The following is a 14,619-nucleotide window of genomic DNA, read 5'->3' on the forward strand; positions in this document are numbered from 1 at the left end:
TTGCTACCAATATTGTGTGAAATAATTTAACATTATCCAGCAAAGTTAAAAGAGTGAACACTCTAAAACAGTTATTCCACTCCCAGGAGAAGCACCTATACTGCAATAGGACAGGTGAGTAAGAATTTTCACAGCAGAATTATTCTTCATAGCAAAACAAAAACAAAAAGAATCATCCAAAAAGCAATGGCAACTACCCACATACCTATTTCCTGAAGAAATTTAAAACAAACTATAGAATAGTACACAGCAGTGAAAAGTGTTGCACCACCAAACACAAAAAAGCATAGATGACTCTCGTAAATAATGTTGAGCCAAAAAAAATGTCAAGTTAGTATTTACTTCTGAGGGGAAGGAAAAAATTGATGTGACTTGGGAAGAAAGCAGAAACTTCAAAAGAATTGTTGACATATTTTTCTAAGTTGAGTGATGGGTACATGATTGTTTTTAAACCACAGATAGATGTATAATCACAAATTGTTTTTCAATTAAAAATAACAATTAATGGCAGAATAAACCCCCAGGAATTTGTAAACTATTAGAGTTGTCCAATGATCATAAATAGGACTTAGACAACAAGAGAGCCAGATGGTAAATATTTGTACCTAGGACTAGATGGAATAAAGCAATTAGGTAGCAAATTTTATCATCAGTACGTAGCCCTATTCCTGACATAATAGACATTCAGTAAATGTTTGCCCAACCTTTGGGCTGGGACTTGAAAACCACAGGCTTCATTTTATTACTAATGGGAGATAAGGCTTTAGAGGCATATGGTGGAATGCTTTGAAAATATCCCTTGTGGGATTTAGGCCATTAAAAATGCAGAATAATAAAATGCTTATCATTGGAGGGAGTCACAGACATAATGAAAACAACTTGTCAATTTATTTAGTCTGGCAGCCTCGTAACCCCTACATAGACACACAGCTTAATAATTTTATCCATATAGCAGATTTGTTTTAGGAGTATCCTGGGGGAAAATTTAATCTTCATAACAAAACACTTAATAATGTATTCCTAGAAATACAGCTCTCTTATGTAGCAAGTAGTACTTTATATGTGCAAAGTTCTATCAAACACATTGTATCAATTACTTATAGGATTTCTATAATTGTATTCATATTTCATAACTGAGAAAACCAACGAACAGAAAAGCTTAATATATCACATTGTCACAAAAGTAATTTTAGAAATATTCAGCTGAGCATAGAGACTCAACTGAGATACTACATTTAAGTGCTAGAATTAAGTGATCTGTGGCTCAGGATACACATGTGTGATCTGCTTAAATTACCTGAAGCTTTAATGTGCAAATGATTCGTTTACTAAAGGGAGGGTCTAAACTGAGGAAATGTGTCTTTGAGATCTGTTACTATGTTGGTTCTGCAGCCATCTTCTGTGTTATTTATTTTATTTTTTTATTTTTCCATAGGTTATCAGGGTACAGGTGGTATTTTGTTACATGAGTAAGTTCTTTACTGGTGGTTTGTGAGCTTTTGGTGCACACATAACCTGAGCAGTATACACAGCACCCTATTTGTAGTCTTTTGTCTCTCACTCCCCTTCAATCCTTCCCCCCAAGTCCCCAAAGTCCATTGTATCATTCTTATGAATTTGGTCCTCATAGCTTAGCTCTCACATATCAGTGAGAACATATGATGTTTGGTTTTCTGTTCCTGAGTTACTTCATTTAGAATAATAGTCTCCAATCTCATTCAGGTCACTGCAAATGCTGTTAATTCATTCTTTTTTATGGCTAAGTAGTATTCCATCATCTATATATACTACAGTTTCTTTATGCACTCGTTGATTGATGGACATTTGGGTTGGTTCCACCATTTTGCAATTGTGAATTGTGCTGCTATAAACATGCGTGTGCAAGTATCCTTTTCGTATAATGACTCCTTTTCCTCTGGATAGATACCCAGTAGTGGGATTGCTGGATCAAATGGTAGTTCTACTTTCAGTTCTTTAAGGAATCTCCACACTGTTTTCCATAGTGGTTATACTAGTTTACATTCCCACCAGCAATGTAGAAGCGTTCCCTGATCACCACATCTATACCAACATCTACAGTTTTTTTGATTTTTTGATTATGGACATTCTTGCAGGAATAAGGTGGCATCACATTGTAGTTTTGATTTGCATTTCTTTGATCATGAGTGATGTTGAGCATTTTTTCCTATGTTTGTTGGCCATTTGTGTATCTTTTTTTGGGAATTGTCTCTTCATGCCTTAGCCAACTTTTTGATGAGACTGTTTGTTTTTTCTTACTGATTTGTTTGAGTTCGTTGTAGATTCTGAATATTAATCCCTTGTGTGTGTGTGTGTTTCTCCAGGCTTTTTGCTTTTCTGTGCTGTTTTCTTTACTTCTCCCCATAGATTGTACCCCCTTAGAATCAGGCACCCTGGCAATACCTCATACAAAACAAAACTGTCATGCCTTTTCCTCCCATCCTTAACAAAAATTAAAACTGACCCATTTTATCTCTAATCGTTCAGTAAACAGATAGATAACTTTTTTTAATCTTTGGTAAACAAACTTCATTTCTTTCTTTCTTATTTTTTACTGGTGCTGGCATAGTATGTCATCTCTCCCAGGATCACCACCTTAACATATGATGGTAGATTATTAGATACTTTATGTTGAGGGATTTGACAAACTATCTCTCTCCTACCACTGCTAAAATCCAGTATCCCTCCTTAGCTTCCCTGAAATGCTTTTCCTACCTATCACTGGTATAATTTGCATGTCAGAGAACCTATTTCAAAAACCAGAATTTCCAGTATGCTAGAAGCAGCAAGCAGCTATTCTTCTGTAGGGAAAGCACTTAATAGTTGACAAAGTGTTGGTACTAACCCTTTGGATTCTAGCAACTCTCATTTTGCATGACATATTTGCCTGTGGTGCCTGAGGCCAGGCTCAGGGCCAGTCTTTCATGTGGCAGAGGAGTTATGATTCAAGTACGTCATGATGTTCTCCCTGCTATACCCAGAACTCCCTGATTGCCCTTCCCCCAGAAAGCCTAAATGTTACACCATTAGAAATTCATTCCTTTAGGCTGAAAGACTGTCAGACACACTTAAAAAAATTCTTGACATTCTTGGAGGAGGTAGAACTTTAAGTCATTAAAATAAAAGTACTTCTTATTTGGATTGCTTTCTCACAGGGCAGTAGCCAGGAAGACTCCCAAGGAAATATGTTACAAGTTGACGGAAGTTAACCTGAGTCCAGCCGAGGCTAAGTTTGGATCATGAGGCACTGCCCAAGGAGGCTACTCTAGTAAAAGCATTGGTGAGGTGGCAGAGGACTCAAGACTAACTGAGGAAGTAGGAGATAGCTGCCATCTTAAAGGCTGCCAAAGGAAAGGAAGTACTATGGAATGGCCTCATGGAATGACCCCAATGTCTGATGTCATCTACATCTGTTAGACCCAATGCCTTCCTGTTGACCTGCTCAACATTCCCTAGTCTCTGGGACATACGAAAGTGTCCAGAGACTGTCAAGGGGTGTTATACCATAGTCCAAAGAAAGTTAAAAGATAATTTTTTTAAAAAAAGTATAGTGGTGCAAAATCAAGTTTTAATACCAAGAAAAGGGGATGAAGAATGAGGTATGAAAGGTGACTCTAGTATAGTTCATTTCAGAGTTTTTCATTCTTTCAATTAGCTATTCATTGAGTAAGTGCCTGTACAAATTACTGTGCCAGGTAATGAGACAAATCCAAGGAATAGCAAGACACATGGATTTCTAATAAAATCTGAATGTCAAGGAGTGATGAAGGTAGTAGGTAGTATAGAAATTCTAGGAAAAGAAGTCCCTTTGGGCACTTGTGTTTAGTGAAATAGATAGATGGGTAGAACTTCGAAGTGTTTGAGATTATGTTAAAGAGAAGAGGCAAGGAGGCAATCTGGAAAAGGGAAGTAGGCAAGCAAAGACAGTGAGGTAGCAAAGCATAAGATGTTTTGGGGGGCCAGAGTAAGCTGATGCAAAGAAGTGGTGGTAGTTTTTAGGAGCCTCTGGGATTAGGGCCCACTGCCTAGGTCAAATTCCACTTCTCCCATTGGTGACCTTAGGCAAGAGACATAGCTTCATTGTGCCGCAATTTCATCATTTGAAAAGAAATAATAACAGTATCTACCTCATAAGAATGCTCTAAGAAGAGGAGAAATATGTTAACTGCTCAGTAAAGTGATGAATACATCTATTTGATAATTTTATGATTATTTAATATTACTTTTGCTAATTCAGTAATTTATATGTTACCAGTAGGAAATGGAAGTATAAAGCCAAGATTGTTCCTTAAATGTTAGATGACAATATCTGTATTTTATTCTGTGGGAAGTGAGGGAGCTTTTGAAAGCATGTCATAATTGGATAAATTTGCCCTGCAGCAAGGGATTGGATATGCTCTAAGTGCTGGATGGAATTGGGGCTTGGAGGCTAGAGGAAGAAAGATGGAATGGGAAGCTATGGCTGCAGCTAGCTGATGGATGAGGTAATATGGTCCTGAAATTCAAAATGACAGCAGAGATAAGAAGGAAGTTATAGACGTGAGAGACATTGTAAAAGAAGGAGGGAGAGTATGTGCTGTCAGTTTGAATCTAGGAAGGAAAACCAAAGTTGTGACTGATGTTTTGAGCTTTAGTGACTAAGACTAGTATGGTGCTAGAATTAAGAGCAGAAAAGGAAGGGAAAAATTGATTTAGGGAAGAAGAGGGGCATAATTAGTTCAAAAGGTAATGTGAAATTTAAGTGAAATGTAGTCTAGGCAGCTGGAGATGCAGAATGAGAATTCAGGGGAGAGGTTGGCTGGAGATATGTTGTCTTCTGAGTAATGGCAGAGAGCAGGTTGATGGATGACTTCTCTGCAAGCAAAAATGTGAAGGTAAGAGCCTAACCTTAAGTCTGAACCTTGGGGATTGTGCAGAGACTTGGTGATTTGGGCTTTAAAAGAATAGCAATATATTATTCTCCTTTGCCATGAGTATGCTGTTACAGAACTATTAGCAATGAGGTATACATATATGTTTTTCATTTACTACTTCTTTCTTTCTTTTGTTCATTTATGAACATTCATTACAGCATTTAAACTATCTAATGCTCAGTAACTACTTAACAAATGAATAAAATCCATGGTACTATCAAACCCTACAGAAGAGCTTACCTGCCTCCTTATCTCCATGCAGACTGTTATCACCTTTGGGGTGAGCATTGGCCTACATATGTCTGACATCACTGATCCATAGTACCTTGATTGTGCATATTCATGCTGGAGCTTTGGGGTAATTTGATAGCCCTTTTGAGTGGCTTCTCTTTTTTTTATTTCACAACTAAACACTTTCATTCAACATTTAAGTATTTTGGCTCCATGCCATGTAATCAAGGAGCAGTTCTGGAATGTGCAAGGATACAGGCTGCCTGTAAGAACATGCCCCACTACTCTTGCTCTTTACTCACATTGGCAGGAATGGTTTCCTAGTGGGACTGTACTTTGCATTTTAACAATATAAATTAGAGGCTGTAATTACAATAGCATAAAATCACCAACAAAATACTGCTAGTTTTCTCAGCTCGTTTTCTCACTTCTTTAACATAAAACAACTAATTGTTCTTAAGTGCCTAAGCCACACTGAGGCAAAGAGAACCTTGTACCCCCTCTCACTTCCCTGAACCAACCCCCCATCCTTCCTCCATCGTCTCCATGGCGACCTCTAAAACAAGCCGTTACAATCCTGACATGGCACCAGGCTGACACCTTGGGCTGGGATTTAATTTTGAGTTATGACCGTGTTAGGAAAACATATGATGTGGCTGTTTGCTTATAGAAAGGGGGGGGAAATCATAAAACCCTCTTTTTTTATGAGCTGTCGCTTGATTCGTTCCTGGAGCCCCAAGTAGCAAGCTTCTAAATCAATGCATGCAGCTGTTTTGGCTTCTTGGAGCCCAGCAGGTGTATTGCTCAGCTCAGCTGCCATCTCCCTGCACTCACATAACAAATAACGGCTTACACACCCCAGTCATCCATCAGAGTTACTGCTGGGCCCCAAGAGGCTTCCTTCCCTCTTCCCTACAACTCTTTATCCTCCTCCTTTCTTTCTTTTCTTTTCTTTTCTTCTTCTTTAGCAGTAGTTGTACTCCATCTATGGATTTTTGTTACACTTTTGGATGCCTTAGTTGAATAACCTTTGGCTTTTTTGGCAAGAGGAATGAGAGAGAAAGAGGAGAAAACCCACCACAGTGTTTATTTGTGTTTTAAAAAATTAAAACAATAGCAGTATTGTGATTGGTGAAATCAATTAGTCTTCCTAAGCAGTAAAGGCCCACATCTGGTGTGACTTAAGTTAATGTAAGAGAAAGGGCTGCAGAGGCCCAGAGACCTTGCGTTCTCATTTCAACAAGTGACAGAGAAGGCATAAAAGGCTAGTAATATACTACAGAGATGGCGCGATAAATATTGGGGTGCTTGCCTAGCAGGCAAAATCTTCGTTGGCCCATGACAACCAAATAAATGTTCCCTCCTAAGGCTGACCATCAACTCCAGGGAACTGAAAGGCTGAGTGCCAAATTGAGACTATTCCAACGGGTTAGCAAGACGATTTCCCCAGGGAATTGCAGAGATAAGGGCTTGAACTCCTGAGATTTGGTGGTGGGGCAGGTGAAGACAGATTTGACAACTTGTAGACGCTCTAATCAGAGTGGGTCAATTGAAAGAAGGCTATGGCAATGCCAAGCATGGTGATTAGTGCATAGTCGAGGCTTCTGGATGATTCAAATGTACGACTCAGACCTTGACCTTTTAGTAGAGTTGCCAGATTTCACAAGTAAAAATTCAGGGCACCCAGTTAAATTTGAATGTCAACTAAAGATTGAGTAATTTTGTACTAGTATAAGTATGTCCTACCTAACATTTGCACACACTTATACTAAAAATTTGCTGGTTATCTAAAATTCAAATTTTACTAAGTGTCCTGTGCTTCATCTACTTTCTAGGAACTTGTATTTTTAAAAATGTGATGCCTTCTCCAATGTTTTTCATGTTGTGCTATGGGTCGAAACAAGAAATGGCCATAATGAAAGAATGCCTGCCCTTTTCTGGGAAGTCACTGCTCATGACTCGTCATAGTATTTAATACCCTTTGAATACAGGATTATTAAGTAAATCACTTGCAAATTTATTTTCAAGAATACGGTTCATTCTTACCTAAAAGAGACAGAAAATATTCCTTCATCATAAATGTCCTTTTTGGCTGATTCTCAAGGCAAATTACATTTGCTGCTCTGTTTCAGAAATCATTCTGGCATAGGTCCATTTTTTACAAAGTCTGTTCTACATAACCCTATGAAAAGAGCATGTAGTGGTATCCCTCTCTTGGAAGTTTATAGTACTTTTTAGTAAATTAAAGGATCTGGGGAATTTAACAATAAAAAAACCTGTTTAGCTTTTTTCCACCCAGAGTTGCTTAATTTGTTTGATTATAGAACAGCCTTTTCAAGAAATACCTATTAAATCCAGCAGAACTAATTGACTGATTAACTGGTTGACAAATGCTGACTTATGGTTTTGATATGTTTATTTTTCCCCTCAGTCTACGTGATTTTTATCTTCTATTTAAATGTTAACTGACTTCTTCTTCTCGTATTTCCTTGCTAGCCTTCTTACATCTTTTCTGAAAGTATGCAACAAAAAATTACAAACAAATAAGTAAATGAATGCCCTGAGGTGGTTGACATGTATTACATATACAGTACACAAAATGCTTACAAAGGATCTGTGACTCAGGATATTTAGAGAATCATGGTCACTGAAGATACTTTTCCTCTTCCCTCTCTACAAAATTGCTCGTGTGTGTGAAGTGCCACTACCCCAAAACAAGCAGTCGTATTTTTTTCTGCCATTGGCTTCTGCCCCACCCTAACCCCTCACCTGGGTGCTGAGCTTGTAGGGTTCTGCTGCTCCCTGCAACCAGTCTCTCTCAGATGTAAAATTCCACTCCAGAGGTGGCTGAATTAGCAGAAGCACAAAACTTGGGAGTATATTGTATATGTGGTACTTAGGGACACTTCAGGAATAAAAGGGGTGAGGATCATGTGAGTTATTATTCTAACAATCTCAATTATTAACTAGCTCTCAGGCAAGACCCCTTGGTACTTAGCAATCATTCCAGCACAATATAAATGTATTTGTCATAGATATATCTCATTGCAAGGGGGGAAAGTCTCCCCTATTTATTCCAAGGCTGATGGCAGGTACCAGAAACCTGGAATGACGGGATAGTCCATGGGTATTTTTATTTTTATTATTTTCTTAAACCAGTTTCCAACAGCTGGCCACCACTTGCCCCTTGACGTGGACACATAAAAGCAAATCCTCCAGCACTGTGCCAGCCAGGATCAGGGAAAAAACACAGCCCTCATAAATCAAGCCTGCACTGTTGTACAGCTTTAGCTCAATGAAGTTCATGTGTATGGGATAAAGGGTTTGAGCTGTGACTGAGAAGAAGAGAGTCTTGCCCTGCCACCTTCCTGCAAGCCTCATGGATATAAGCCAGCACCAATCCACACAAAACTTTTGTCATACCCTCAGTCTCCCAGCGCTGGTCAAATCACTCAGTCAAGATCTCACACTCCTGTGGGCAAAGCTTTGTAGTGCTTCATTTTGCTCTTTGTAAAGAAGAGCCTGGTCCCAGTTTAAGCTTCAGAAAGAGTGACTCTCAAGGGAGCAGAGCAGAGGATAGCAGGGCATTGTCCATTACTGACCGGCTGAATTACTAGAGAGAGTGAGGCAGATTGGGGACTTGGTTCTAGGAAGGAGAGGAAAACAGAGGTATTTCCTAAGGAACAGGAAGACAGGAATAACAGGGGAAGGGTAGAAGGAAAAATTGAAATGACATAAGCACCCCCCAAAATGACTGAACTTCATTCAGGTCAGGGGAAAAACTTTCCACGGATCAACTCATGTGACATTCACAGGAAGTCATAAGCTAAATACTAATCTCTAGATAAACTCAGAAACTTCAAGAGGCCACTACAAATGTTAGAAGGACACAGGGGATTTCAGAAATGGAAGTCCCAAAAGGTGGAGTCCCAGAAGGTGACACCACTATATGTAGAGGAAGATTGAATACTGGTTATCCAACCACATTGCTGGAAGAAAATGATCAGGAACATGTCAGTAGAGTAGCATCCACTGACAAAGCATTCCAAATTCTTCAGGATAAACATCTATCCTCCCAACCCCACCAACCCCCTAAGTTACTATTGTTCAGGAAAATGTGGCCCTGATGCTAAAAGGGCCTAAATGTTAATGTAAAGGAGGAAATATTAATTAATGAATTCAGTTCAGTCTGTAATTTAGTCATTCATTCATGTGCTAGGGGGTCAATTTTATGCCATACATTGTGTCGGGTGGCTGGCTGAATAGGGCGGGAATCCCAGACCTAGCATTCCTGCCACCCCTTAACCCTGTTCTAGCACAGATATGCAAGTGGAGGGTGTCAGACTGGGTGCCCTCAGAGGGCATCAGATTCTAAATAGAGATTAGAAATTACATAATTAACATTAGTCACATATTTTTAGTGCTCTCATATGGTCATGTTCCTCTGCAGTAGTCAGGATGAACTTTGTTATCTTCATTCTCCAGCTGAGAAACTGAAGCTCTGAAGAATTAAAATATCAGCCAAAGGCCACCCAATCTCTTAGTAACAGAGCACAGTCTGACTTCATCACCCAATGCCACCTTACTGAAGGGCTTTTCCTTCCTTAACTGGTTGAGGTCAATCATGGACCTCTTATGCCAACTTTTATCTCTCCACTGCCTTTGTTCTTGCCAATATTTCCTTTGTATGGTATTACCAATGGAAAATCAGCAGCTAAAGGAATCAGATGTTTGTGCAAAAATATCAAATATCATAACCCTCCCATGGTAAGCACCCAAACTCAGTAGCTTTCTGTGATTTGTGAATGATCCTAAGAGGACCTTGATTTTAAAATGGAGGGAAAAAATTAAACCTATAACACATATGTTACAGGAAAGGGGTCCCCATCCAGACCCCAAGAAAGGGTTTTTGGATGTTGCACAAGAAAGAACTCAGGGTGAGTCCATAAAGTGAAAGCAAGTTTAAGAAAGTAAAGGAATAAAAGAATGGCTACTCCACAGACAGAGCAGCCCTGAGGGCTGCTGATTGCCCATTTTTATGGTTATTTCTTGATGATATGCTAAACAAGAGGTGGATTATTCATGCCTCCCCTTTTTAGACCATATAGGGTAAATTCCTGGTGTTGCCATGGCATTTGTAAACTGTCATGGTGCTGGTGGGAGTGCAGCAGTGAGGATGACCAGAGGTCACTCTCATTGCCATCTTGATTTTGGTGGGTGTTAGCTGGTTTCTTTACTGCAACCTGTTTTATCAGCAAGGTCATTACCACCTGTCTCTTGTGTCGACCTCTTGTCTCATCCTGTGACTTAGAATGCCTAACCATCTGTGAATGCAGCCCAGTAGGTCTCAGCCTCATTTTACCCAGCTCCTACTCAAGATGGAGTTGCTCTGGTTCAAACGCCTCTGACACATATAACCCTTATTCCTTTGTGCCATTTAAGAGAAAACTCTACTGCATCAGACATAGGCCAGAACATAAGTGTCAGGGTATGGGAAAAAATTTAATTATAAATAGTGAATTTGATAATAGAGAAAAAGTAGTATCATAAAACACACTGATGCTAGTTTTTAAAAAACTACTCAGGATTCTAACCTTTTAAAGAAGCAGTGTCAAAACTTAATTATCTTTATACACAATCTCTAATCTTAAAAAAGAAAATAGTGAAGAACTCTGACAACCTAAGATGTCTCATACTAACTTAAAGTTTGAAACAATATTGAAAAGAAACATCATTCATTTCTTCTAATTAAAATTGGGGCAATTTATCTATTTTTATAATTAATAAAAATAAACTTACATATTTTCTCATCTGTAAAATGTGAATAATAATGTGTCGCTATCCTTGAAGCCCAGATGAGTGTCAGAGGGTCTGGAAAGTATTTTGATACCCTTTGACAGTATAAGAGAGAGCTTTGCTTTCTTTCACAGTACTATTATTGTTATTGGCTGTGTTTGATTATGGGAGCTGTTAATCTAACATTCTACTCTATTCTCACCTTTTAAAATTCCAGTAAATAAAAATTTCTGTGAATTGGAGAGGACAATTCAGAGGTCAGTGGGTATTTACAAAAATAATACGAGAAAAGAGAGATTTTCTTAATCATCTTCTGTCATAATTTTTATGACAATGATTCCATAGTCAATTCTTTCCATTTACTTCCTGCTCAGTTTCTTAAGCTTCTCACTTCCAATGATCTTGTCTCCCACTCTTCTTCAGCCACTGACACACATGCTCACCCCTACACCCGGTCATTATCAATAACTGAACACCCAGTATACTCTCAATTTTAGCTATACAACTCTCCAACCAGTAGCTTCTTCTTCTTCTTTTTTTTTTTTAGATGGAGTCTCGCTCTGTCACCCAGGCCAGATTGCAATGGTGATATCTCGGCTCACTGCAAGCTCTGCCTTCCAGGTTCACACCATTCTCCTGCCTTAGCCTCCGGAGTAGCTGGGACTACAGGTGCCCACCACTGCGCCCAGACAATTTTTTGTATTTTTAGTAGAGACAGGGTTTCACTGTCTTAGCCAAGATGGTCTCGGTCTCCTGACCTTGTGATCCGCCCACCTCAGCCTCCCAAAGTGCTGGGATTACAGGTGTGAGCCACTGTGACCAGCCTCCAACCAGTAGCTTCTAACTTTCCATCTTATTTACTTTAGTACGCTGACTCTTACCAATTTTTTTAATTTCACTAATACAAAAACAAAACAAAACAAAGAAACAAAAACTTTGGATTTTCAGCTTTCCTCTATCTTTGTATTTAAAATGTATGTGCCTCCTAACCCAATTAGTTTTTTTTTAGTTTACTAAAGTTTTAGTACCTTATCACCTCAGCTCCCTCCTAACCCAGTTTAGATACTCTGGGTCATCATTATAATCACAGATTTGTATAACACTGTTAACTCCCTTTGTCAGCTCTACATTTATCACATCCTGCCAGACAAACTTCAACAATGATTAAATTAGGAACTCTGCCTACTCCACACCTGCCTTTATGCAGCTAAATATATGGAGAAAAGCATATGTCTAAGTTAATAATCTCATTCTAATTTTATGACGTGTCATACTAGGAGAACCCTTATGCTACCTTGTAGTCCCTACAGCATTTCCTTCGACTCTTTACATTTCTATTCTTATAGATGCTGTTGTTAGCCTTTTCTTCTCTCCTTTAAACCTCCATTATCCCCTCCTTTAAGTTTTACTCTCTGTTGATGACCTTACTCCTGTTTCATTGAGAAAAGAGAAACAATCAAAAGAGATCCTTTAAGAAAAAAAGAATGTAGAATTAACAAGTTAATAGTGAGGGGAAACAAAAATTTTTAAGTGCTTACATCAAAACATTAACTATATTAAATATAAATGAATTAAATGCCCTAATAAAAAGATAAAGGTGGTCAAAATGAAAAAAATAAACTAAACTACATGCTATTTTCGAGACATACATTTTAAATACAATAATAGAGGAAAGTTTAAAGTAAAAATACCTAAAGAAGAATAGAACTTTGAAACACCAACTAAACAATACCTAGTGTAGATTTACTAATATCAGACACAGCAAACTTTAAGGAACAAAGCATTACTAAAGATAGATATGTCATAATAATACAAGTTTAATCCTACGAATATAATACAATTCTAACTTGTATGCTCCTAAAATACTCTCAAAGCAAATATTGTCAGAAATGAAGAATAAATATAAGTAAGTCTATAATGACAAATATTTTAGCATACCTCTCTCACAGATAGATCTACTATCTAAAATAGTAGGGCATAGAAGATTTTTATAATACAATTAAGAAAATGACTTATTAGATATTTAGAGAACATTATAACCAACAATTACAGAATATTTATAAAAATGATATATGCTAGACCTTAAGCAAGGTTCAGCAAATATCAAAGAAGCGAAATCATTTAAAGTCCACATTCCAAACACAGTAGCATCATGTTAGAAATTTCACAACAAAAATATAACTGGAAAATTGCTATGCTTAGAAATTAAGAAATTAAACTTCAGGACAACAATGAGACTAAAAAAAAAAAAGAATTACAATAAGAATTTTAAAACAAGTTGACCCAAATGCTACTATCATATAGCAAAGCTTGGATGCAACTAAAACTATGCTCAGAATGAAGTTTATGCCTGTCACGAGAACTAAAAATCATCTTTTCCCTGCATCCATCCTAAAAATTAGAAGAAAAAGCAAGAAAAAAATCAAATTAAACCTGGAGACAGGACACATTAAAGATATAAAATTCATAAAATAGAAATATAAACATACAATAAAGATGATCAATCATCTTTATTTTTTTGAAAATTTTTTTGAAAAGACTAAAAAATTTGAATTAAATTAAAGCTGTTGTCAAAACTGGTGAAGAAAGTAGAGATAGAAAAGAAAAATGACCAATACCAAGAATTCAAAGTTAGATATTACTGCAAATCCTATAGACCTTAAAATATAATGAAAGACAATTATGAACAACTTTGTGGCAATACATTTGAAAATGTAAATGCAATAGACATTCCTAGAGAAACAAACTTTCTAAAACAGACAGAAGAAAATCTGAGAAGCCTCTTATATTTAAATAATTGAATCTATAATTTCAAATGTATCTGTCTCTAAAGAAAACTTGAGGTCTAATTGGCTTCAGCAATGAATTTCACTAAACAATTAAGCAAAATATAACCTCTATCTTATATAAGATTTTCCAGAAAGTAGGAAAAACAAGAAAAAATTGCCAACCAGTTTTATGAAGCCAGAATAATTTTGAAACCAAAGCCTGGCATGGATATTACACAATATTAAAACTACAAGCTCACTTCACTCATAAACATGGATACAGAAATATTAAACAAAATGTTCATAATTTAAACACAATTATATGCACCACAGGATACTATAACATAACCAAACTGGGTTTATTCCAGCAATACAAGGTTGGCTTAACATTTGGAAAACAATCTGTATAACTCATGATATTAATAAAGGAGAAAAACCACGTGATCATAGTATTTGTGGGAAAAATACTTGATGAATTTAACATCCAATCTAATCATGACAAAAATATTCAGCTAGGAAAAGAAGTGAACTTCTTTAATAAGGTATATCAACAACAACAGGAAACTATGCTATACATTGTTTTATGACAAAATGTTAAAAGATTTTCTTCTGAGAACAAGGATGGGAGAAGAATGTTGACTTATATTATTCCTATTCAACTGTCCTAGCCTATGTTATATAGCAAGAAAAACAGTATAGACGGGACTTCTCTGTGATGGGGGGAGGCGCTCTGCAAATCCTGCCTCAAATGAACAAAATAACACTGAAAATAATATCAGAAGAATTTATTAAGAGCTCCTGAAATTGACCAAAGGCAACCAACAAACTGAAAAGTGCTTATTCAAGGAAAACTGCTGCACTTTGGATAGAAACAGTGAGAGTATGTGGTTTAC

The 14,619-nt window shown here is 37.3% G+C and overlaps 1 annotated feature.

Moving 5' to 3' along the window:
• Positions 4,842-6,771: an enhancer, noted in NCBI's record as "VISTA enhancer hs1428". NCBI's record gives its function as "enhancer in: somite[5/9] | limb[9/9]" and the evidence as "EXISTENCE:transgenic organism evidence [ECO:0001131][PMID:17130149]".

The sequence above is a fragment of the Homo sapiens genome, chromosome 1 (assembly GCF_000001405.40).
Source record: "Homo sapiens chromosome 1, GRCh38.p14 Primary Assembly".
NCBI classification, from domain to species: Eukaryota; Metazoa; Chordata; class Mammalia; order Primates; family Hominidae; genus Homo; species Homo sapiens.